At 45.6% G+C, this 23,209-nt stretch overlaps 2 protein-coding genes and 1 long non-coding RNA gene across 11 annotated transcripts in view; 2 read left to right on the forward strand and 1 right to left on the reverse strand.

Moving 5' to 3' along the window:
* RASGRF2 (Ras protein specific guanine nucleotide releasing factor 2) overlaps positions 1-5,542 on the forward strand; it is a 269,800-nt gene extending 264,258 nt beyond the window's left edge. For all 5 annotated transcript variants that reach the window (NM_006909.3, XM_047417464.1, XM_047417463.1 and 2 more), the window contains one exon: positions 1,058-5,542. In NM_006909.3, the coding sequence (NP_008840.1) occupies positions 1,058-1,150 (93 nt within the window). In that variant the 3' untranslated portion in view covers positions 1,151-5,542. The remainder of the gene's footprint in view (positions 1-1,057) is intronic.
* Positions 8,702-23,209, forward strand: part of CKMT2 (creatine kinase, mitochondrial 2) — a 33,077-nt gene continuing 18,569 nt past the window's right edge. The window contains exons 1-2 of one of the 3 annotated variants that reach the window (NM_001825.3): positions 8,702-8,757; positions 19,422-19,585. The gene's annotated coding sequence lies outside the window, so the exon portion shown is untranslated. Of the gene's footprint in view, positions 8,762-19,421; positions 19,586-23,209 lie in introns of all 3 variants that reach the window. The other 2 variants (NM_001099736.2, NM_001099735.2) reach the window with 2 other exon arrangements.
* The window catches only part of CKMT2-AS1 (CKMT2 antisense RNA 1), a 64,005-nt gene continuing 53,740 nt past the window's right edge, over positions 12,945-23,209 (reverse strand). Inside the window, exons 2-3 of one of the 3 annotated variants that reach the window (NR_034121.1) lie at positions 20,124-20,789; positions 12,945-14,735 (exon numbers count right to left, since the gene is read on the reverse strand). This is a non-coding gene — a long non-coding RNA (CKMT2 antisense RNA 1). Of the gene's footprint in view, positions 14,741-20,123; positions 20,790-22,269; positions 22,353-23,209 lie in introns of all 3 variants that reach the window. The other 2 variants (NR_034122.1, NR_034123.1) reach the window with 2 other exon arrangements.

A 23,209-nucleotide genomic window follows, 5' to 3' on the forward strand; every position in this document is an offset into this window, starting at 1 on the left:
TTGGGAAGAGCTCAAGTGTCCATCAACAGATGAATGGATAAACAAATTATGGTATATCTCTACAATGGACTACTACTCAGCCATGAGAGGGAGCAGACTACTGGTACAGGCCACAGCAAGGCTGAATCTCAAAACACTATGCTGAGTGAAAGAAACCACACATGAAGGAGTACACACTGTATGATCCCATCGATATGAGGTTCCAAAATAGACAGAACTAATATGTGGTGATAGAAACCAGGGCAGTGCTTGATTCCAAGAGCAGATTGACCGAGTAGGTGCATGAAGGAACTTTTGGGGATGCTGAAATTGTTATCATGAAATGTATGTAAGTTACATGGTGTATACATGTCAAAACAGATCAAACTATCTATTTCACTTTTGTGTGTTATATTTCAATAAAACTAAAGAAATATTTTCATGAAAATCCCCCATGCCCCAACATATTCATTTCTAGTGTCAATTCCTTTCCTTTCACTTCTGATATCTACCCTAGCCTAGCAGAGTATTCACGCATGCACTCCAGGAAGCATGCTAACAAGGAATTCACTGAAACTTTGTGTAACAGTGAAGTATTGACAGCAACTCAACATCTATCAATATGAGATTATTAAATAAGCTCCAATATATTGCACTATTAATACTGTATAGCAGTTAGAGCTCTATCTACTGTCACAGGGAGCTCTCTCCAACCTATCATTAAGAGATGAAAGCAGAATAAAATGTGCACCATGGTGCCAATTTTAGGGGGAAAAATGATTTCTGTAAGTACATGTAATCTCTATAAAGACATAGAAAAACAACTGGGAGAAAACAAACCAATTAGTAACAGTAGTTCCTCTTGAGGGAGGTACCTGGGATTGGGGGTTGAGAGAGGACTAGAGATGTTCACCTTTTTTTTTTTTTTTTTAACAATGGAAACATATTTATGATTTTTTGGTCAAATAAGATTTTTAGTTGTTTAAGAGAAAATGTTGAATTGTGTTAGATTCCGTCAGAAAATGTACGCACTGGTGTCTGAAAGAGGTAAAAGCTGGGACTTCCCCTTTTTTTTCAGGTCGCACAGTACTTGCTTGACAAAGACCTTATCATAGATGAAGATACGCTATATGAGCTGTCACTAAAAATTGAACCTCGACTCCCTGCTTGAAGATCTGGCCTTGCCCCTGAGTCCACGGGATGTTCATGGAAAGCAGGACAGACAGAATTGTGTATGCCTTGCCTATCACGGTACAGCACGAAGCCAGGCTCCTTTCTCCACCAAAGAAGATGGAACCAGACTGGAATTCTGTCTCCAGAGAGAAACCCAGCTGTTTGGGTCAAAGACAGATGCTTCAGACTTGGGTGGGAAGGTGAAAGATGGCTATTTAGAAAGCTGGTGGCACGTTTTACATAAGGGAATGTCAGATGGGAGATGCTAGTTGCCATTTTAACAAAGCAGGTAAATCGGTAAATTTTAAACTCTGTCCATGTTCTGTTAGAACTCAGGGACAAGGATCCATGAAAAAGACCTGTGATGTTTCTCTGGCGCTTTACTGGCCTGGGCACACCTACCAATCTTCTAGGATTTGACTGGTTCCATTACATTTCCTTTTGGTATAAGCTTCACAGAAAAGCTGACACTTCCTCTACAGAGATGGACCAAAACATAAGCAATTTCAGTCTACAGCATGTGCATGGTTGTCAGTGCATTCTAAATATTTCTATGTGAGGAATGGTACCTTCTGAAACTGCCTTTCCAGTCTTTAGGCAATGGGATAGGAAAGAAAGAATGAAACACAAATGGATTTGTATGTAACATTTCCTTAATTAAATGCAGTAGGCTGTGCCCCAGAGGATTCCAGACAGTGGCTGGCTGAGGTGGGTGGGGAGCTTTTCCTTGAGACTGTTGGTCCTAAGAAGCCAGCCCTTTTGGAGAGGCAGCTGCAAAAAGGTGCACGCCCATCTCACCGACAAAACTGTGGAACAGAAGGCCACCAAGTGCTGTGGGGAATCATGGGTTTCAGTGCTGAGTGAAAATCTATACCTAAAAATCATCTCTGCACCTTGCTTTGTTTGTTTTCTTTCCCCACTCATAGTACTGCAGGAATCTATTCTCATTTACACAGACCTTTTTTTAGGCTTACTATGAACATTGGCTGTATTTTTTTTAAACAGTTTAGTGAAATTTTCTTTTCAAAACCCACACTTCCATATGCTGTTCGTAGATCTCTTTCTTTAAAAACTGATGTTGAGAGATCTCTGAGAATATTATAAGTGCATGGGAAATGGGCCCAACCACCGAACAGCTCTTACATTACAAAACCAAATGCAAGGGTTAGTCCTGCTACCTGAGGCTGGGGAAGTGACCTTCCTTTTCCCAAGATTGTCAGTTGTTGAAGAAATAGGGCTATCTCATTGTTTACCTCCCTCTTCTCTTCTCAGGGAGACTGCTGCTTTAAAAGAAGGAAGAGAAAAAATATAGTTCTATTTCCCTGAACCTGTTGCACCTGACATTTTCTCTTAGCAGCATGAAACTTATTGATGCTGACAATGAAAAATGGATCTGTCTGGCTGCTTTCCCTCTTTCCTTGCACTTTAATTATGTTGCTAGAGCTAACAGACTAATAAATTCCACCTGCTGGCTCTTAAGACTCAGTGAAAGAGCTAGCATTGGTAATGCACCATAGAGGTAGAGAATGTACACTTTCTGCACGGTAAGTGCCATCTCTGTATGTAACTATATAGTGAAATATCAACTAAGTAAAAGAAAATATAATATTTGAAGACCATTCCCAAAATATTTTCAATAGTTCATATTAGCCAACAGTGTAGCACTCAACCCAAGGAGGGTTCCTTATGGATGCTTTCTTTTTCTTTTTTAAAGTTGCTTGTTTGTTCTCTTTAGTTTCAAATAAGAGGTTGACGCATCTTGATGCATGATGAGAAGCATGGGCTGTTTGGATCCTAACAACGCATAACTTGTGATTTATTTCTCAGTGCTCCAGAAACTGAGGGTTTGAAATAATATGTATCAGTTGCACCAAACACCTCAAGGTCTTGCAGAAGAAAAGTAAAGGTTAGCTTTCATGGCTCAAAAGCATAGTCCTGAAGGGTGAACTAAAACCGGGACAAATCTGTGAGAGGACCACACACATACTAGTTTCGGGCCAAACAACACGTGGAAAGGTGCATGCATTCTACTCTGCCTTGGAGTTGCCAGAGTCCTTCAGAGGGAAAGGGATGGTTCTGTGTGCACTTTTTCTGGAAGTTCGGACTCATTTCTTTGACCCAAATGTTCCAGAGACACTGCAGCCATTCTTATTAACAAAAAATAAGACAGGAGTTTCCAAATGCTCCTTCCCTTTTGGATCGCAGCTTTTCTTCAACTAGTGACAAAGCTTTTGCGCCTATTTCCTGCAGGATGTTGGAACTGCCCCGCACTGGTCATATTAGGCACTGTCAATTGCTATGCTGACTTTTAGGGGGTTTTTGTTTGTTTGAAAAACAGGGTCTCACCATGTTGCCCAGGCTGGTCTCGAACTCCTGGACTCAAGCAATCTTCCTGCCTCAGCCTCTCAAGCAGCTGGGACTGCAGGGGTGTGCCACTCACTAGCCTTTCGCATTTTTGTTTGAGAATTACACCACTTTCTGGAGTCTGCAGCCTTCCTGGAGCTGCAAGAGGGCAAGAGAGAGAGCTCCACCTCTGAGGGAGTGTCTGTTGATGACCTGCACTATTCGTGTGCCAGCTGGGAGAGGAATGCACATTTTAAAATCCCTTCAATTTGGTCAAATTAAAAATCCCCAAGAGCAATTTGCAGTGTTTTTTCTGGTCGTTAAAGTACCCATCCTCTTCTGCCTACACACAAAGCATGCATTCCCAGCTGCATCTGCCTCTAGTCCATTATGGAGACCCATTTCTAAGAGGAGATGGGAGGTCAACCTCTAACAGCCAAGTAGCGAACATGTATACTGTAAAATTAACCTAGAAAATCAGAAGAAAAATCCAATTTCATGCTTTCGAATGAATGCCCACATTTTGTACTGTCAACGAAATTATCTTGGAGCTTTTAGGGGATGCCTTTTCGTTATTAACTGAGACATCTAGTTTTGCTACAGGGACAAATCTCTTACCTAATCCAATATATTATTTGACAGATTCAGGCATGAAGTAAAACGTCGTCACTTTTCCTTAGTGCTTTTCTGAAGGAATTTAAAGACGGAATTTTAAACGGCCATTGCAATATTTTCAAGTGGCTCTCATACCAAGTCCCATTACTGTTTGTTAAATTTCAGTACGTCTTAAAGTACTACTTATAAACAAATGAAACTCAGAGAAACTGAATCACCTGGAAGAGAAAAATCCATTATGGTCCCATGTGGAGTGAATAATGATGGATCAGCACCCTTTCTCTCATGTTATTGTATAAGACGAGACTTTTGGGCCAGCAGCGATTGGGCAGCTTTTAAATTCTTAACTGAAAAGAGTAATGCAATACAGGGATTATTCCCAATAAAATTAACTTTTATTTAAAAGCAAGAGATTTTACTTAGCTTTTTTTTTTCAAAGTTTGATTTTATCCCCTTGAAAAAAAATCTCTTCACTTTAAAGTATAAAGGTTTTTAAAAATCCAATTGCAAAATGTATTATTTTTACAACTATCGAAAAGGCATAAAAGAGAACATACTATTTATGGCTGAAGGGTATAGCCAGGCTAATGTGCACAGAGGGAATCAATAAATAAAACTCTTTTTCATTTCAGTAAGAAATCAGATTGTAAGTTTAATGGCTCCATTATAGATACCACCGTGTAATAGAAGACTTAAGTCAATGAAATCTAATCAGTGTGTCATTTCTCAGCGGCCATTGGTGACTTAAAATTAAGATGAGGCAGAGCCAAAATGGAAAACAGTCATTTTGTTGTAGGTATAAACACATGAACGATTCAGAAAATTATTCATCTCAGCTGCCATGCAGCATGACATTAACATTAGGATTGATAGCACTAGTCTGATCTGCTCAAGGAAAATAATAGTTCTATTATACTTAATGATGTTGGTTTTTACACAGCTCATTTCATTTTTCACTAGAAAGCCAGTTATGAAAGAGAGCTGGCCTAGGCATCCCGGCCCTGAGTCCTAGGCCCAGTCTCCAACTGGAAAACCTTAGGCTGGTGTTTACACATCCCTGAGCCTCAGTTTCCTCATCTGCAAAACGGTGTGAATAGTAATCCCTGTGCTGCTTATCTCACAGGGCTATTGTGAGGACCAAATGGATTAGACTGTAAACTGCAAAGTGCTGTCCGCACATGAGGTCATCTGATTACTGTCCTCAGATCTCTTTTGTAGAGGATTTCAATGTATTTCTTTATCATTTGAGTGTGTGTGTGATGGACGAATATGTGTGTGAGTTTGAGAAGCATATCGTTCGTGTCCAGTTACTTTGCAAATTTGTGGACATTTGTGATTGGACAGAGGGGTTTGTGCTGTGGCCTAACACTTGCCAAGTGAGGTGTAGGTTATGCCTATATGCAAATTAAACTTCACCTTTCTTGAATATTCAGAAATCTCACTGGTTTCTTCATTTAACTCTTTTTCCCCCCATTTTTCTACATTGTCAACTTAAAACCATGAAATGTATACATTTAGAAAAAATAGAACTTAATTTCTTATAAAGGGTTACAATCTGCAGGCTGGAGCCTCTGGCCAAAGCCAAAAGCAAGCACTTCAGATAAAAAAGGGAGAGGCTGAGATTTATGCCCAACAAGATGAGCCTTACATATACATTTAGTAGGTTATAGGATAATCTTATGAATATTTATGAGAGGCCCTAATGCATGCATAGCCAGTAATCATATATGTTACATGTTACATACAACCCATGTTCACTTTGGGATGGAGACTTAAAATGTAGTAAAATTGGGCTCTATATGTCAAAAGATGGAACACAGGGCACAAAGACGCTTGGTGTGCAATCTCTGTAAACCGGCCAGAACCGGCTGTGGTCTGTGGTCAGTTATGAGGATGGAGTGCTTTGTAAGGCTGAACACTTGTCAGGGGGAAACTGCGTTGAGGGAAGGGGGGGTTCGCCACGTCAGGTTGTCTGTTGAAGTTGAGGAAGAAATCTTCCAGACATAGTTTTTCAGTAACTGGTTTTAGTTTAATTTTAGGAAAGAAAGTCTTGAGGCAGTTATCGAGGTGGGAGAGCGTTGGGTGTGACTGACCTCTTGCCTTGCCAAAGCTGTAGAATCTGGTTTTTAATGTTTCCTGGGGTCTCTTTTTACCACAATGAGTCTGTTTTGTTTTGCTTGGGGGCCTAGGGGCTTTATTTTTATTTTACATCTTCTTCATAGCAGTGAACTCCTTCAGATATATTATTTACTTCTAAATATTACTTCTAAAGTTCAGGGAGAAAAACAGTTTAGAAGAGGCCCTAAAATTCAAAGAATTTGGGGAAAGCTTTGAAATGATACGAAGGATCAACTAATCACACTTTCTTTGCAGTGCTTAGATTCTTCCTGTGACATCCCCAGCCTATATTTGATACCTCCAGGCACAGAGAACTCACTACTACCTGGAACAGCTCAGTCCATTGCACAGCAGCTCAACGCTCCTGAATGGGTGGTGGAGAGAGGAGAAGCCGCCAGGGTAGAGTCCTGGCCTAATAGTCACCAGGCTCCACCTAGGAGGGGCTTCTGAAATAAGACTCCTGTCTACCCCTAAAATAACTGCAGTGGTTATATGGATTACTATATATGAAAATACTTTAACTTCTATGAAGTTGTGGCAACATTTAGAGCTGATGGAATTAAGTTACAGTTGCTGGACACAAGAATAGACTAAGGAAAGGGGTCCCTCCTGCCCAATTCTGAAATGAGCAATCCAGGCTGGTGCGACAGAGGAACCCAGGTTCCTTTCATCCTATTACTTGCTCATCCCACAAGGCGTCATCCTTGCCTTCGAGGTCAAATCTGGGGCCTGCTCTAGCCACACTCCTGCTGGACTCAGGAACAGAAAAGAGAATAAGTCCAGGACATTTTCCTTTAAAGCAAATGATATGGCAGTCGCACACTTCAATTCTGTTCCTGCCCTTATGGCAGAAGCCAGCCACAGGGCAGCCTGGTGTGGCTAGAGCCCCAGAGCTTCAAAAGGAGTTGGTAACGATGAGAAGGGAATAGATGCCATGTGACAGGGATGGCATTTGAAAGATTTCCAGAAAGCCAGAATTTCTACTGTGAGTCCCTTGTAGAGATTTCATCCCCATCACACCACCTTTATAATAAGCTTGAAGAGGACCAGTCCCCCAAAAGAAGGGTGGTACCCTCTTTTCTCAACAATGACCCAATTTTTCTTCTGACCTTACTAACATAAACATTTACTCTATAAAATATAAGGTGTTGAGGTCGGGTGAGTGGAGGGGGCCCTAAATGTTGATTAGGCAATTGGGGAGGAAAAGGAGGTTTTTGCTATAACTGCCATTCTTTAAATCTACAATTCCATGCTCTTTAAAAGCCTTATAATTTTCTGGATCTGGGAGCTGGGCTATTTCAGGGTCAATGGATTTATTTCAGTTGGTGCCTGAACTGACTTGAAACAAGTGTGTGTGGAAAAGAGCTATTTTGAGAAGGAATAAACCGAGACTGCCCTGATGATAGAATATGCAAGCTGGTGGGTCTTGACTCCTTAAAGGATTATGAAATTAATTTGATTGGTCCCAATCTTTATATAACCACCCCAATCAGGAAACTTCCCATCCCGCCAAAAGGCCCCCTCACGTGCTCTCCCTGTCAGTACCCCATGCAAAGGTAAAATAGATGATATTTTTAAACATGGGTCGTGTTTAAAAGAAATGGAAACTCCTTCAGAGAATGAAGGAGAACCACACTGGGTAGAAGGTTATTCCTGGGGCTCCACCCCTTGCTCCATCAAGTCCTCTGAGCATGAGCTGGGCTCTGAGAAGGAAGAGACAGGAACCAATTGGTCATGTCCACGTGGCCTCAGAAGCTGAGTACGTGACGGTCACCAGATGCCTAGGCAGGCTCCCTTGAAATGGCAGGGCTGCTGTCCAAAATCCTGCTGGGTCATTGCTATTTACAGGCAGCCTTCCCGGCGTGCGGTGGATATCCCAAGCGGGGCTATTTTTAAGCAGGGCTATGGCCTGCCGTGGGTTAAGCTGGTGTGGACAGAAAGCGAGATGATCTAGCCATCTACTGCAGGGGGCCTGATCTTGAACAGAAACCTGACTGTAATTGTCCCTGGATCCAGGTCCCAGACAAAGACGCTGGAAGGAGGTCCCTCCAGCCCCTGGCTCAGGGCCCGGTCAGCTGCTGGAGCCAGGCAGCTTGAGACATCCTCCTCTCCGACCTTGGCTTGAGGGGTTCATCCTCCAGAGCTCACCAGGGCCCCAAGGCTGGTACACCTGAGAGAAGAGAGAAACAAATCCCCCAACAGATGTGCAATTTCACCTGCTGGCCCTTCCATTCTGAGATCCAGAGCCCTGGCAAAGGAGCCTCCAGGACCAGGCCTGGGAAGCAAGACTGGCTCCGCCTTTTACGTTTCAGAGAAAGGGCAGGTGCTATAAAGGGCCCAGCGCCCACGGGCCTGCCTTCAAGGGTACAGCTGTGGGGGCCGGTGCGCCCGGAGGTCTACGCTGGGATTGGTGAGGTCCTCTGGCCCCGCCCCGCCAGGGAGGATTTCCAGGCCGGCCCGACCAGCTCGCCCTGCATACACTTCTTGGCTGTGTGCGCTCAGCAGGACGTGGGAGGCTCCGGCTTCAAGGTCGGTGAGTCCGTGAAACTCTGCTTTATTCCTCCAAAGAGGGGTCATGGCTAGAGCCAGTGTGAAGGGCCTTGGAGGAGTGGATGCCGGGCTGTAGACGGGGACCCCGTTAGGACGCTGACTGCGAGGAGGCAATGGTGACTCGCTAAAGCCAGCAGAGCTCCCGCCCTTGGCCGAAGCGACCCCTCCTCCCTGCACACAGGTGGGGGCAGCTCAGCACCAGGAGCAGAACAAATCAGCACGCTGCCTGCAGGGCCTCTTTTTGGTAGTGAATCAGGAATTTTTCTCGATGGAAAAAAAAATCTAAAGGCTGTATTTTGACGCTAAGTTTGGGACAACTTTAAACTTAAAGTGTCTTTCCCTTGTAATTCACAGAGTCTAATCCACTCATTTCTGGGAATGTTTTTCCCCAGCAGTCTCAGTCTCAAAAGACATGTAAATCAGTGACTTGGGATGAACTAACTAGAAAATTAAAATTTTGAGAAGCTATTTGCTCATAAGCCCAATAGCCAGGCCCAGTTTAAACGGGCAAATAGTATTGCTAGAGATTCAGTTTTGCCGTCACTAATACTAACACATTGATAATGAGACAAGTAACCGTCTCCCCTCCCCACCATCCTTACCTTTCCCACCGGAGGTTAATTAAAAAAAAAAAAAAAAAAAAAAAAACCTATGGAATTGGCCCCACGTGTTTCACCTGGGCAGAGGCCTGTTCTTCACTAGCTTGCTTGCTTGGTTGGTTGTCCCGGGGTTAAAATCAGTCCTGTTCTTGCCCCTAGAGTGGTCTGCCTTCAAATGCTCTCCTCCGAATGTGAGGAAGAGTGACATTTGACAAACAGACCAAAACCTTTAGGTCTCCTCAGTGCTGCCCTTTAGACCTTCCAGAAAGTGTTGCCAGGCTCGTGACCCCTCACAGTGTCAGCTGAGTCAAGTGAGGGGCAGTTAGTGGCCCTCAGGACAAGGTTACGCTAGGTACACCAGTGTGCTGTTTCCAGAAGGGCTGCTTTTCCTGTCTACGGCTCTCACATTTTCTCTGTTCTGAACTCGTGTCCTTGGTCTGTTCTCTCTGTCCTCTCATAGAGGCGAGCATGGCCACAGCATGTGGCCAGAGACTTCCTGACAGGCAGGCTCTTCCGGGAGGCTCTTGGCCTTGTTTGGCGGTCTGAGCACTTCACTTCCTCTGCATTGATAGGCACCTTTTCCAAAGACCCCAGACTTTGGAGTTAATCACGCCTGTGGGTTAAGGCACTGTCACAGCAAAGCACAGGAGTGCCACATGCACCCCATGGACTCTGCCAGCCTCATGACCAAATCATATCATTAGGAAATGGGCCATAGGCAGGTCAGTTTTCCTAAGGAAACTGTGGGTTGGGTCGGGGGGAGTACCATACAGAATGGGGAGTCCTGGGGTTTCAGACACAGGAGGGAGACTGACTTTGCCCCTAGCTCAGAGGCCCTGGGCCTCCATCTCTGCCATAGCCTACAGCAGGCTCCATTTGTCTTCCCAAAGGAAGCCACGTAGAGTCTGTGTCAAGCATTCTGGGAGCTCCTGCCCACAGAGCCAGGAATCCAGCAGCAACCCATGCTGAAGGTGACTGCTGGAGGTCACACTAACCCTTGCCAGGAAGCCTCAGAGACTCCCTCCCTTGGGCGGGGAAGAAGGCAGCCCACTTCACAGCACTTCAAAGGACTAGATGGCTCCTAGCTTCCTGTTTTCTTGAAAACAATTTACCCTTGAGGGACAAAGTCTGGTAACGGTCCCATGCCTTCATCACAGGAGGCCTAGGAAAGGCCTCTGTTTTACAGAGTAGGATTCTAAATATCTCCTTCCTGCCTAGGACTGTCTATTTGCTGAGTAGAACAGTAATGCCAAGAGTGCCCATTAAGGTTGGCTGCGTACTAAGTGGTTTTGAGGTAACGCACACCCTTTGCTATCTTAGAACTGGGAGGAGACAGGCATTTTCTGCGGCCTAGGAGCCTGGCATCGTGAGAATTTGTTCAGAGTGTTCTGTGGAGCTGGTCCAAGCCCAAGGACATCCTCTGTTTTGGGGTGGCTCTCTGGATGGAAAGCTGACACGTGGTCCTCCTCCTGCCCTTCCACCTGCCCTCTGGCTGAGGAGTTCAGACACATGGACGCTGTGAATGGCTGGACCAGAAATAAATCTGAGTCAGCAGAAAGGCAGACATGGTCCATCCGGGATGCCCAGGAAGAGCAGGGGGCTCGGGCTGGAGGCAGTGACAGAACCCAAGGCCTCCTCTTCACATTCTAGGATGTCACAGAACCAGAGAAGAGCATTAAGACCAGGATCTGAACTCCCAGTATACCTGCCTGGGACCAAGAAATGTACAGCTTGTGGCCACTTAACAAAAGGGCTTGATGTAGCTGTCGTTGTTTTTTTAATGCGGAGGGCAGTGTAGGAACAAACAGGATATTATTGCTTTTGGCTCTGTCTGGCTGTGCTCTTGCACCTCCCCATCGCTCCAAATCTCCCTGGCTTGGAGCCCAGGTATTCTGCCAATTTTAGCCTAGATGCTGTAAGCAGTGTTTTTCAATTCAGGAGTCATTGTGGTGTTCCAGGTTAGGGAAACTGAGGCAGAAAGCTTCTATGGGGTGAGAGCTGGAGACCACCTTCCTCTTCACACTGGCACAGCATCCCTAGCAAGGCCTGGCAGGCACATTGAGCACTAGAGTCAGAGTGGAGCGGGCAGAGATATCCCTGGCGTCTGGGTTACTTCAGCGGGAGCCTGAGGACAGGGAAAGAGAACAAGTTTATAATCTGCAACTTTAGAAGTCATATGCCCTGAGGTGACAATCCTGTGCCTAGGAGCTGCTGTGTTAAATGCACTTCTACGGTCTTGGGGGTTTGACTGAGTGGAATGATCTGTGGCACCACAGGTTTTAAGCCACAGGGGTGGTTTCCCTCCAATTGCTGGTCAGTGAAGGGCTGTATGTGAGGTGCTGCGGTCTGCAAGGAAGCTGAATCCAGTGCAAAAGACAAACCTGGGTTCAAATCCCAGCTCTACTAGTGTGCTGGCACTGAAACCTGGGGCAGGTCACTTCTCTTGAGCCTCTGTTTCCCCATGCCCAAAATAAAGCATACTTGGCAGGATTGTTACATAGACTGATTGTGTTTGTAAGGTCCCTTACATAATGCATGGCTCATGATAGGAGCTCATAAATGCTCAAAAAGAAGACAGAAGGTTTGACTCAGTCGGTGTATAGGGTTGGAAAGGATATTCCAGGGGAAAGAAAACACTCAAGCAAAGGCTCAGAGGTGGCAAAGTGAAGGACCTGTTCAGTGATGCCAGGAAGTCATTGGAGACACTGTTGGAGGGGTGGAGTCTGGAAGAAGAACTGGGGAGCCCAATTGGTTAAATCCATTTTGTGAACCCCGATGTTGGTTTTCAGAGGATGATCAGTAGATCTGAAAGTATGTGATAGACACCTTTGAAGTCTTGTCCGCAGAGATAGAAAATACAAATTAAAAGAAGGCAGCTGTGGTGGTTCACACCTCTAATCCCAGCACTTTGGGAGGCTGAGGCAGGTGGATCACTTGAGGTCAGGAGTTCGAGACCAGCCCGGCCAACATGGCAAAATCCCATCTCTACTAAAAGTACAAAATTAGCCACATGTGGTGGTGGGCGCCTGTAATCCCAGCTACTTGGGAGGCTGAGGCAGGAGAATTGCTTGAACCCAGGAGGTGGAGACTGCAGTGAGCTGAGATCGCACCACTGCACTCCAGCCTGGGTGACAGAGCGAGACTCTTTCTCAAATTAAATGAAACATTTAAATGCGAAAAATGTAAGTTAAAATCAAAAAGCATTCAGAAAAGGGGCAGGCCGAGTGCTGGCTGGAATAATCAGGTGTGGCTTTGGGGAGGGAGTGATGATGATCCCATAGCCTTAGGGTCATCAGGGGAAGGGACTCATTTATTCAGTGCCTACTGCAGCCTGTCCCGTCGTCTTCACAACACCTCACAGGGAGACCTCATCATGCCCATGATGGGGAGGAGCTGCTGAGGCTCGGGTGGGTACCAAGCAGGGTTCCTACACCTAGCGGGGCTTGGTAACATCCTGTAATCGGGGAGCTTTTTCTCATTATACATGTGAGGGCCCCACTCTTGGAGAGACTCATTCAAAAAAGGTGGAGCCTAGAAATCCAAAATTTTAACACACATCAAAATTTTCTTTTTTAGGTTTTTACTTTTTTATCATAAAGATAACACATGCTTATTTTTACAAGTGATACAATACAGAGTTCCATTAAGAGAAAATTAATCTGCCTTCTCCGAGTCCGTTACTCTGAAGCAACCCTTTTAGCAGTTTGATGAATATCCTTCAATACTTTTATGTTCATACAAATACATGAAAATGTATATGTATATATACATCATTGTTACAAATTGCAACCGCTCATATTCAGTCCTAAGCAAGTTTTTCTTTTCCTTTTAACCTAAAAAGGTGTCACAGATGGGCCTCCAGGTAAGTGGAGGCAGTTTTAACTCCTTTAATAGCTGCAGAATATTTCACCATCTGAATGCACCAGCATTTGTTGAGTGGCAGTGCTGGGCTTCTCAAACTATCTGTGGCAAAATCTCTTATTAATTTCTAATCCATAGCAGACTCACACATTTGTAAAATATGATAAAGTGCAACTATTAGAAAAAGAGAATAAGGCTGGGCGTGGTGGCTCACACCTGTAATCCCAGCATTTTGGGAGGCCAAGGCGGGCAGATCACGAGATCAGGAGATTGAGACCATCCTGGCTAACATGGTGAAACCCCGTCTCTATTAAAAATACAAAAAATTAGCTGGGCGAGGCGGCAGGCGCCTGCAGTCCCAGCTACTTGGGAGGATGAGGCAGGAGAATGGCGTGAACCCGGGAGGCGGAGCTTGCAGTGAGCAGAGATCGCGCCACTGCACTCCAGCCTGGGCGACAGAGCGAGACTGTCTCAAAAAAAATAAAAAAACAAAAACAAAAAAAAACCAGGCATATAAAATGCCAGCTCAAAATTTAAAAAGTAAAATGACTATCAAAGTGCTGTAGGTGTTCTAAATGCTTAATCTCAATTCCTGTACTTACATCGTCACGAACTGCTAACAGCCCACAGACCACACTTTGGCAGCATTGGTCTGGGGTCAGCCTTCCCTAAGTTGAAAAAATCACTCTTCTGTGAAGACCTTGTCACTTTTCACCACCTCCAAATTCAAGTCCCAGGTCTCACAGTTTGTTCCTTTGGCTATGGCTCCAGTGCCACGTGCTTTGGCTCCAACCTGTCTCTGCAGTCCCTCCCCTGCCTCTGCCACTCATGGCTCCTGCCTCTGCACATTCTGTCCACTGTATCTGGAAAGTCCTCCCTTTATCCACCAGGCAAGGTGAAGTGATAGCCCCGAAGATTTTTTACCTCTTCTAGAAAGCCCTCTCTGACCCACCAGGCAAATTTGGGTCTTCTCTCCTCTTTACTATTTTTGCTCTTGTCCTTTGGATTATAGTGGTAGGTTTTTATAGTGATCTGTCTCCCCCACCTGGCTGTACCCTGAACTCTATAAAAGCTCCTTGAGGGCAGCCCCAGTATCTGACACAAGGATTGATTCTCTAACGTTTGTTGAGCAGATGGAGGGATGGATGAGCAGATGGATGGATAGATGGACAAACGGATGGATGAAAGAGCTTCCAGGCTTAGCTCTCAGGCTGTAACGTAATCTTTGCTGTACACAGGCCGTGAACTGGGTGGTTGGCCTTGCCCATGTTCAAATCCATTTCTGTTCTAGACTCCAGAATCTGTCAGGGCTGTCTTGAACCGTGGGTTTCCTTGAGGCCCTCTAGGGTACGTAGCCACCACAAATTCCAGCCAGAATCAGTCCTAGCTTAATTCAACTCTCCAAATTTCAGGGGAATTATCTTCCGTAGAGTCCCTCCAGAGGCAAATTTGTATTAGTGACAGTGGCCCAGGATGCTGTGTCCTCATCTTAGGAATCTGGACTAGGAATAGAACAGGGGACACATTTAGCCCTTTCTTTTTTTTGGCAGCATTCAAGGGCAGGCTAAGTCTGCTCTGGGCTGAGGGGAATGGCCATTTCCCCACCTGGAAGATGCCTGGAAAGCAGCTTTGGGGAGGGAGGAGTGGGGGCACGTGGCATCCACAGTCCTCCACTGATGCACATGGGTGTGCAGGGGTCTATTCATCGTTTCCACTCGAATCCTTTGCAGGGTGTGACCTGTCCTAGTCCCAGGGCAGGTGGAGGCATGCAATACAGTACTTTGGTATGCTTAAGACCTGACAAGGCTCCTCAAACAACATCGTTGAATGGTCTGTCCCATAGCCAACCATGCCCTCCCAGGACCCCCCAACAGGCTCTGGCTCCCCAAGTAGAGCACAAATCACACACAATTTCTAGTTGCCCAGCAGAGGGCCGTGGTTAAGAGTGTGGACTATGACTGCTGGCCAGAATCCCAGCGCTGCCACTCACAAACCATGTGGTCCTGGGTGAGTTATTTTGCCTTTCTCTCCCTGCATCTGCTCACTTGTAAAATGGGAATAACACGAGCACACAGCGTTTTTTTCCTCAGACTAAGGACTCTGGAAAAGCTGCCACATAGTAGGTAAATAGTCATCAGATGAATAAGTAGACAAATACATATCTCTACCCCCTCCTCACCCCCTCTTTCCCCTCCCTCCAATGCTGCCCACCATGGCTTCTCCCTACCTGAAACATATCAGTGTCATTCACCCACTTGCCCTTGACTCACATGACCCGCTGACCGCCTGGAAGCCTGTAGTGAGTGGTGTTCCTGCGAAGGAAGGCCCCAAGAGCCATCCCCTGGTTCTGCTTCCCCTCAGTGCTGCCTGGAGTGACACCTGTGTGCTGTGGGCATTTTGGCCCCATACTTAGCCTCCCCTCGGCATCAGCCTATGGAAACCCTGCTTAAGGGAAAACACTCAGCATACCTGAGAGACCAGGGAGGATCTGAGGCAGCTGGAACTCTCTGGCAGCTCCATTCCTTGGGAGACAAAGGGTTAATGACAATGGCCCAGAGGAATGGGGGCACACGGCATCCACAGTCCTCCATTGATGCACATGGGTGTGCAGGGGTCTATTCATCGTTTCCACTCAAATCCTTTGCAGTGTGTGACCTGGTCCTAGTCCCAGGGCAGATGGAGGCATGCAATACAGTACTTTGGTATGGTTAAGACCCCATCTAGACATGCTGTAATATTTGTATGGTAAACTATTGTGAGTGAAAGGATCTTTATTTAAATGAGTGCCTGGTGCAGAACAGACACTCGATACATATGATTTCCCTTTAGCTGTGTGACCTTGGGCTGTTAGTTAATGTCTCTGTTTTTGAGTTCCCTCCTCTGTGACATGGGATACCTACTTCTTGGGATTGTTTTGAAAAAAGTACCCTGCCCTTGAAAGCACTCGAATTTTGTTTTCTCTCCTTATTCAGATATTAAAAATGTTATAATAATTACAGTTATCCAACAGTAAAATGGGTTGCTGTGGCAAGTGGTGGGATCCCCAGGACTGCTGGTATTTAAGGAGGGCTGAGGGAAAGGGATGCCTGAATTTCAGCTGAGGTAAATGACCTCTAAAGCCTCTCAGGTTCCTGACATTCATTCACTTACTCATCAGACATTTAATGATAACCTATCATGTGTGGGCCAGCGTGCTTAAGAACCAAGACAAACTGTGGCCCAGTTCTACATTCATTGGGTCTTGTCCCTCTGAAGTAAAGGATGGACCCAGTGATTGTCCCTTGTCCCTTTGATGCGTGGAATTCCCAGTGATTGTCCACCCGACTGGAGCCTTGCCAAGCTTCTTACACTGTGCCTTCCAGCACGTGGAGGGAGGAAACCAATTCCTGCTCCTCGTGAATTCCAGAATGTAAGTTACCCCACAAGCCCATGCAAAAAGGGGAAGAGCTTCCTCCTTTTTCTTAGAGCATTTCCTTTAGAAAACTTATATTTTGCTGCCCCTTTGAAATGTATATAAATCTTTTTAAAAGCTAAGTAAGGCTCCAGTCGATTTTACAACCTAGGACTCTTTTCCTGCAAGGGCCTGGAAACCATCTCTTTGAAAATACAGACATCAAGGAAGATAGCTCCCTACCTCCCACTGTCAGTGGGAGGGCAGTGGGTAGTAGTTTCATTTAAGCACCTGGCTCCAAGTTGTAAAACTACCTGCTGTCCTAGAAACTTGAGTTTTATTTTTCCTTTTGATAAAGGCAATTAGCGAACACAAATGGTCACCAGGTGAATTTAGGATGAATTATGCTTGACAAATGGTGCTGTCAAGTCCTCTTACTTTAGTTCGAGAACATGTATGTAATGAATGGGTCCTATTTGCTTGCCCACATAAAAGGGTGGGATGTCTGTCTTTGCAATCTCCTTAGCAGAATGCTAAAGATGTGCATCACTAGTTTAATGTTTATTCAATAATAAAATATTTTCTTTTTCCTATATTTTATGGAGAGGAATTTCTGGGGTGGGAGGAAATTTAAATTGTTTCCCCAACACCTAGCACTTGCTCCTCATCTGATTCTTCCTTTCCAATCTGCCTGCTCAGTCAGAACCCCTAAAAAAAAAAAAAAGGAAACAGAAGGACATGCACATTTAGGCCTTGTACTCTGCTGGCTTTCGTCTGTTATCTGTGGGGTAGTCTCTGCTGTGTCACATACGGACATCTCTGACGATGGGCACGATGAGCTCCCAGGGTTCAGACAGCCTGTCATGGTCAAACGGTCAGGAGCCTGCACTGGGCCACCCTAATTTGCAGATACCAGGAAACGGAGCAGGTACATGCTCAAAACCAGAACTGAGTGTCTCACTTGGTGGCTTTTATTGATAGGATTTCAAAATCCATGTCTGAAAGAAATGTGTGTCACATCATATAAGTAGATTTCATTCAAAAGTTTGTGGGCTTTTTTTTTGTGAGACAAAGGTTTGTTCATTTCTTGCATTTGAAGTACTCTTTGATGACATCCTTGGGCTGAGACTCCTTGCCATAGTCCTTAACTACTACACAACTGCAACCAACCACTTTACAGGGTTTCCCCTCTCTGTCAATTTTACAGAGGTCGCCTACTCATTCCCCTAGTTTCTTGTCATCAACCTTAATTAGGTTGATTTGGTGTTCAGCACAAAGGGCCTTGACCAACCTGACATACATAGGCTCATCAGAATTGGATGCAGGCACACAAAGATGGGGTTGGTTCTGGTTGCCCAGCATGCCAAAAAAGCCAAACATTGACGCTGAGATTTGTAGTGAGAAAAAGGCGTTTATTGCTGGGTGCCAAGCAAGAAGAATGGGTACCTAGCACTTAACACCTGAGCTCCCTGCTGGCTTATAAGCAAGGGTTTTTAAAGCAGGAGTGAGGGGGTATCCAAAATGAGTTAAGAGCTAGGGAATTTCTGGAACTTCCATATCTATTTTTTGGTTTCAGTCTGTCTGAGTTCTATGACAGTGGTCAGCATTTTCCATCTGGTGTGGGAATTGTTTTCTGAAAAGCAATGCAAGGGAATAGGTCAAGATGCTATCTTTAGTTTCTACAGGGAATCAAACATTTTGTGACTCTGACTTACTTGAGTGGCTTTTAAATTATTATCTTCTTGTTTAGCAGGTTATTCGTTAACTTCCCTAATTGCTGGCTGTAGGACTAGCTAGGTACCTGGAACTTCCCTTAAAGGGACTGAGAATGTTGCCTTGATTTCTATGCTTGGCACATGTGGGTAAGGGGAGGAGCCCAGCAGGGCCATAAGAGAGGTCCCTTGGGAAGACAATACAAACATTAGGAGTGAACAGAATAGAGATATGTGGCACTGAGTTTACCCGCAGATGCCAAAAAGGCACAGAGCACAAGGGCAGATGAATGAGCAGCCCATGAGTACACTGCGAACTGAGAGAGAATGCAGTCATCTTGAGCTAGAAGGGAACAGATTTTGTGGGGATTGAGGCACCAGGCTGTGGTCCAATTAGGCAGAGAAAGATGGACAACAGAGTCCAAACGGTAGGGGGTGATAAGAAGCAAGAAACAGTAATAACTGTTTCTAAAACAAATTAGATTTGTTGCATTAGCACAAAATAGAAACAGCAAACCAATATTTTAAAAAGTCATATACAGTATATAATATTAGAATAGAGATACAAATGTAGGATATACATGTGTGTTTTTCAAATTGAGATCATGCAAAGCTCTAGTGCAATGGAGCTGAATGTGAGGCTAGCTACTGTGTCCTGATGTTCTGGGCCCCCATAACAGGCCTTGAATGATGTGTGCAAGAACTGTGTGAGCTTTCATGAAATTCCTAATAGGATTTTTTTTTTTTTGAGTCAAGTCTCTATCACCCAGGCTGCTGGAGTGCAGTGGTGTGATCTCGCCTCACTGCAACCTCCGCCTCCTGGGTTCAAGTGATTCTCGTGCCTCAGCCTCCCGAGTGGCTGGGATTACAGGCGCGTGCTACCACACCTGGCTAATATTTTTTGTATTTTTAGTAGAGACAGGGTTTCGCCATGTTGGCTAGGCTGGTCTCTAACTCCTGACCTCAGGTGATCCGCCCACCTTGGCCTCCCAAAGTGCTGGGATTACAGGCATAAGCCACCATGCCCAGTCCCTAATATGATCTTATTTAGTTGACATTTGCCTCTTTCCCCAAAAATAGATCAAAGGAAATGTTTCCCTTTGTCCCGTTTCACACTAAACGGGTTGGGGAGGAACCAGGGGAGATGTCAACCGTCTGCCGGTGACTGGGAAGTTTTCTGCAAGTCCTCCACAGCATAGGCCAGCAGGCCACTTTTCACTAACAGAAGTCACAAGCCAAGTGAGGTAAAGTTCCTTACTGTAATGCATCATGGCTCATAGAAATCGCAAGATATAATTGCCTGCCTCATCATTAACATCACCTGCCCCTTCCTGGTGTGGGCCTCTGTGTTCTTGGGATGAGTAACCACTATCTATGTGGGCCTTTCTACCTGTCTGCCTTGACCTGAGCAGTTCGACAGTCTGATGATGCTGGAGGTCTTAGCCTGGTTGTAAGACAAAGTAAAATCAGACGCAGATGTCATCTGCCAGGGATTTCCAGAAAGAGCTCTCAGATTGCCTCAAAAACACATTGGAGCCTCTACACTACATATGCTACAGTTACACGAAATGAGGCAACTCTCTTTTAGGCTCTGCCCAAAGAAATTTCAATTTTGAAGACAAAACTGTGGATAAGAGACTTCCTCTTCCCTGAGTGGACGAGTATACCAAAGCAGGCTCCCAAAGGGCACCACTGTGATGACACATGAGGGTATCAGCAGCTTGTCCTCAAACCTCTCATTGCCCTTCCTCTTCCACCCACTGGCTCCATCGAGGCACATACCTGAAAGGCTTTCCTTTATCACAGTGCTACACAGGAGGGGAAACGGACCAAGCCATTGTTCCTCTATCAGGATTCCTTTGTGTGGGCATGCATCCCCCTCACTATTTTTTTTTTTTTTTTTTTTTTGAGACAGAGTCTTACTCCATAGCCCAGGCTGTAGTGCAGAGGCACAATCTCTGCTCACTGCAGCCTTCGCTTCCTGGGTTCAAGTAATTCTCCTGCCTCAGCCTCCCAAGTAGCTGGGATTACAGGTGCCTATCACCATGCCCAGCTAATTTTTGTTATTTTTAGTAGAGACAGGGTTTCGCCATGTTGGCTAGGAATCCTGGCTTTAGATCAAGGAGTCAAATGCCTGGTACAGCATCTGTGACATCAACACATGATGTAGGTCCAAAGTATGCCTGTGTTGAGGTTTTTTGGCAGCTGCTGCAGGCTTTGACAGCTGGGGCAGGGTAGAATCCCTTGTCAAGATCCAGAAAAGGGGGTGGAAAGAGGGAGTAGCCACCTCCCAGAAGTGCGAGGTGGGACAGCAGAGCTTGCTGGCCATGTGGAAGGAACACGAGGTGGAGTCAGACAGGTGTGCGTTCAAATTCCATCTCTGTCGCTCACTAGCAGTGTTAACACTGAACCAGTCATTTAACTTCATAGAGGAGTATCTGGCTTCATCTGGAAAACAGGGACAATAGCATATAATGTGCCTGGTACAGCAGGTACCCGATGGTTCCCTCTCTCCTTTCCTCCTTGTAATGCAAATATTACTCATTTGGGTGGAGACGTACATTGAAGGCCTGAGAGAGCAGCTACATCTGAGGTCGTCTGTGAGTTGAAGAGAATGTGGGGAAGTTCTTAGGGCACAATGTCATCACTGGGTCATAGCAGTCTCTGTGCTGGGCAGAAATGGGGCCTGATGGCCAGGCCTTCACTATAGGTCTTATGAAGCCTTTGAAAGAGTCCCAGGAGCCAGCGGGATGGGAAAGCTGAGACGGGGCAGCAGGTGATCAGGCAGAGGGCACAGCAGGGCCAGAGCTGTGAAGAGTCCCAGCAGCTGTGGTGCGAGGGGCCCGGGGCCACCACACAGATCATCCACATCTGCCAGCAACACTCTGCTCTCAAACTGCTCCCCCACCAGTGGGCCCCAACACCTAACGGCCTCACCACCCGCCCAACTGTAGACCAGAAATCTCAGGCATCCCTGGTTTTCCCTTATCTTTCATTTCCAAACCATTAGCACGACCTGTCAGCACTGCCCCAGAATAGACTGCAAATACATTCTCTCTCATCCTCGCTGACTCACCTGGGTCTCAGCACCTTATCTCTCACCTGGACAATGTCTAGGGCCTCTGACTGCTCTCTCTGCTTGCATTCTGCACATGTCCCTCTAAACCATTCTCCACTGGCAGCCAGAGCTACCCCTGTAACTCATAAAATGAGCTCAGCACGTCTCCTGCTTGCAAGCACATCTGTAAATTTCCTCTGCACTAGGATAAAATCCAGACTCCTTAGGGTGGTCTCGGGGCCTGCACACCTGGCTCCCCTACACCCTGCCCGTCCATCCTTTCCGAAGTCCACTGTGATTTGCTCCCTGTGCTTCAGCTCCACTGACCTCCTTTCTGTCCTGGGACAAGTCCAGATCTGTCCAGCTTTAAGGCTTTGCTGTTCTACTCTCTGCCCCTGCCTAGCCTATTTAAAAGTAGACATCACTTACATTTTCTCTGAATAATATCCTGCTTATTCCCTTCTTTGCACTCATCCCCACCTACGATGATTTTGTTTTCTTGTTTCTTGACTGTCTGCCACAAATGAATTAGAAGCCCCCACAGGAGAGAACTGTTTCTTTTGCTCACTTTCATATCATTATTGCCTAGCACAGTGCCTAACAGTAGGCACTCAGTAAAGAGTTCCTTAATGGATGAATTCCATGCTTCCTGCTGGGGCTAGAAGCCAATCCCGGGCTGTAAGACTTTCTGGGATCCCTGTGAGAACGGGCACAGTGGCAGATGTGAGGCTGGAAAACAGGGCCAATTAGAGTGGAGGGGATGGTGGGAAGAAACACGGGCAGCAGCGAAGTTGAGAAGCCAGCTTCCCTCAGCCCTGTGATATCTAGCAGCCAGGGTTCCCTGGAAGAAGGGTCCTTGTGGACCCGTACCTGCCAGTATTGGAAGTGTGGTCCTCTCACCGAACTGCTCACCATATGCTGACGGGGAAGCTGGATCAGCCAGCAAGGACCAACTGCAAAAAGAAACATTTGGGAAAAAGATGTGTGCTTCCTACAAGCTGTGAGATGCTCCTGCTGTTTCCAGTCCCCTCTAGCTACAGAAGTGGAGCCCACAGTGAGGGTGTCTGAATGCTTGAGATTTTATCCCAGGGAGAAACATCCTGGCTGCTCTGGTTCCTCATCTCCTCTCCCTAGTGGTCTCTGAACAGAACAGTTCAGTACGTTATGATAATGCTCAGAACATGGAGGGAACTGAAAACGTTAAAAAAGCTTTGCAATGAGCCTGAGATTTCTTTTTGTTCCAAACTTTTGTCCTAATGGTTTCACAAGATATACTGACTTATAAAACCATGTTTGGAAACTAGGCAAAACCAATACTATCTGCTTTGATAGACACAGATTACCCCTTACAAACAAACATCTTCCCAGCTTTACTTATGCCACATGTTATCATGTGTGCAAATAACAAATCAAGCCTCTTCTGAGTAGGGGTTACAGCTGCAGAGAATGCTTATGTAACATTTGGGGCCTGCCAGGTAACAGGGAAATGTGTAAGACAAAGCAATGTTCTGACTGCGCAGCGTTTTAAAGACTAACTTTTAACATGCAAGAGAGATTTAGTTTAGTCATGAGGAAAAGTGATTTCATTGCAAGCCTTGATTCTGGGTCTTTGGAGAGCATGGAACAGCCATTGCCAGAGCACCAGCCTGTTCAGTGAGACCTTTGTTTCAATTTCACAAACAAGGTTACTAATTAAGGCCTTAATAGTGAAATTCAATGCCTCTTTGTGTTCTGGCGAGACAAAAACAGAGTCAAGGAAGCAGGAATTCTTTGCTTCACCAAAACCTGGAGTCTGTGTCAATTCTCTTCA

Source organism: Homo sapiens, chromosome 5 (genome assembly GCF_000001405.40).
Source record: "Homo sapiens chromosome 5, GRCh38.p14 Primary Assembly".
In the NCBI taxonomy this organism is placed as follows: Eukaryota; Metazoa; Chordata; class Mammalia; order Primates; family Hominidae; genus Homo; species Homo sapiens.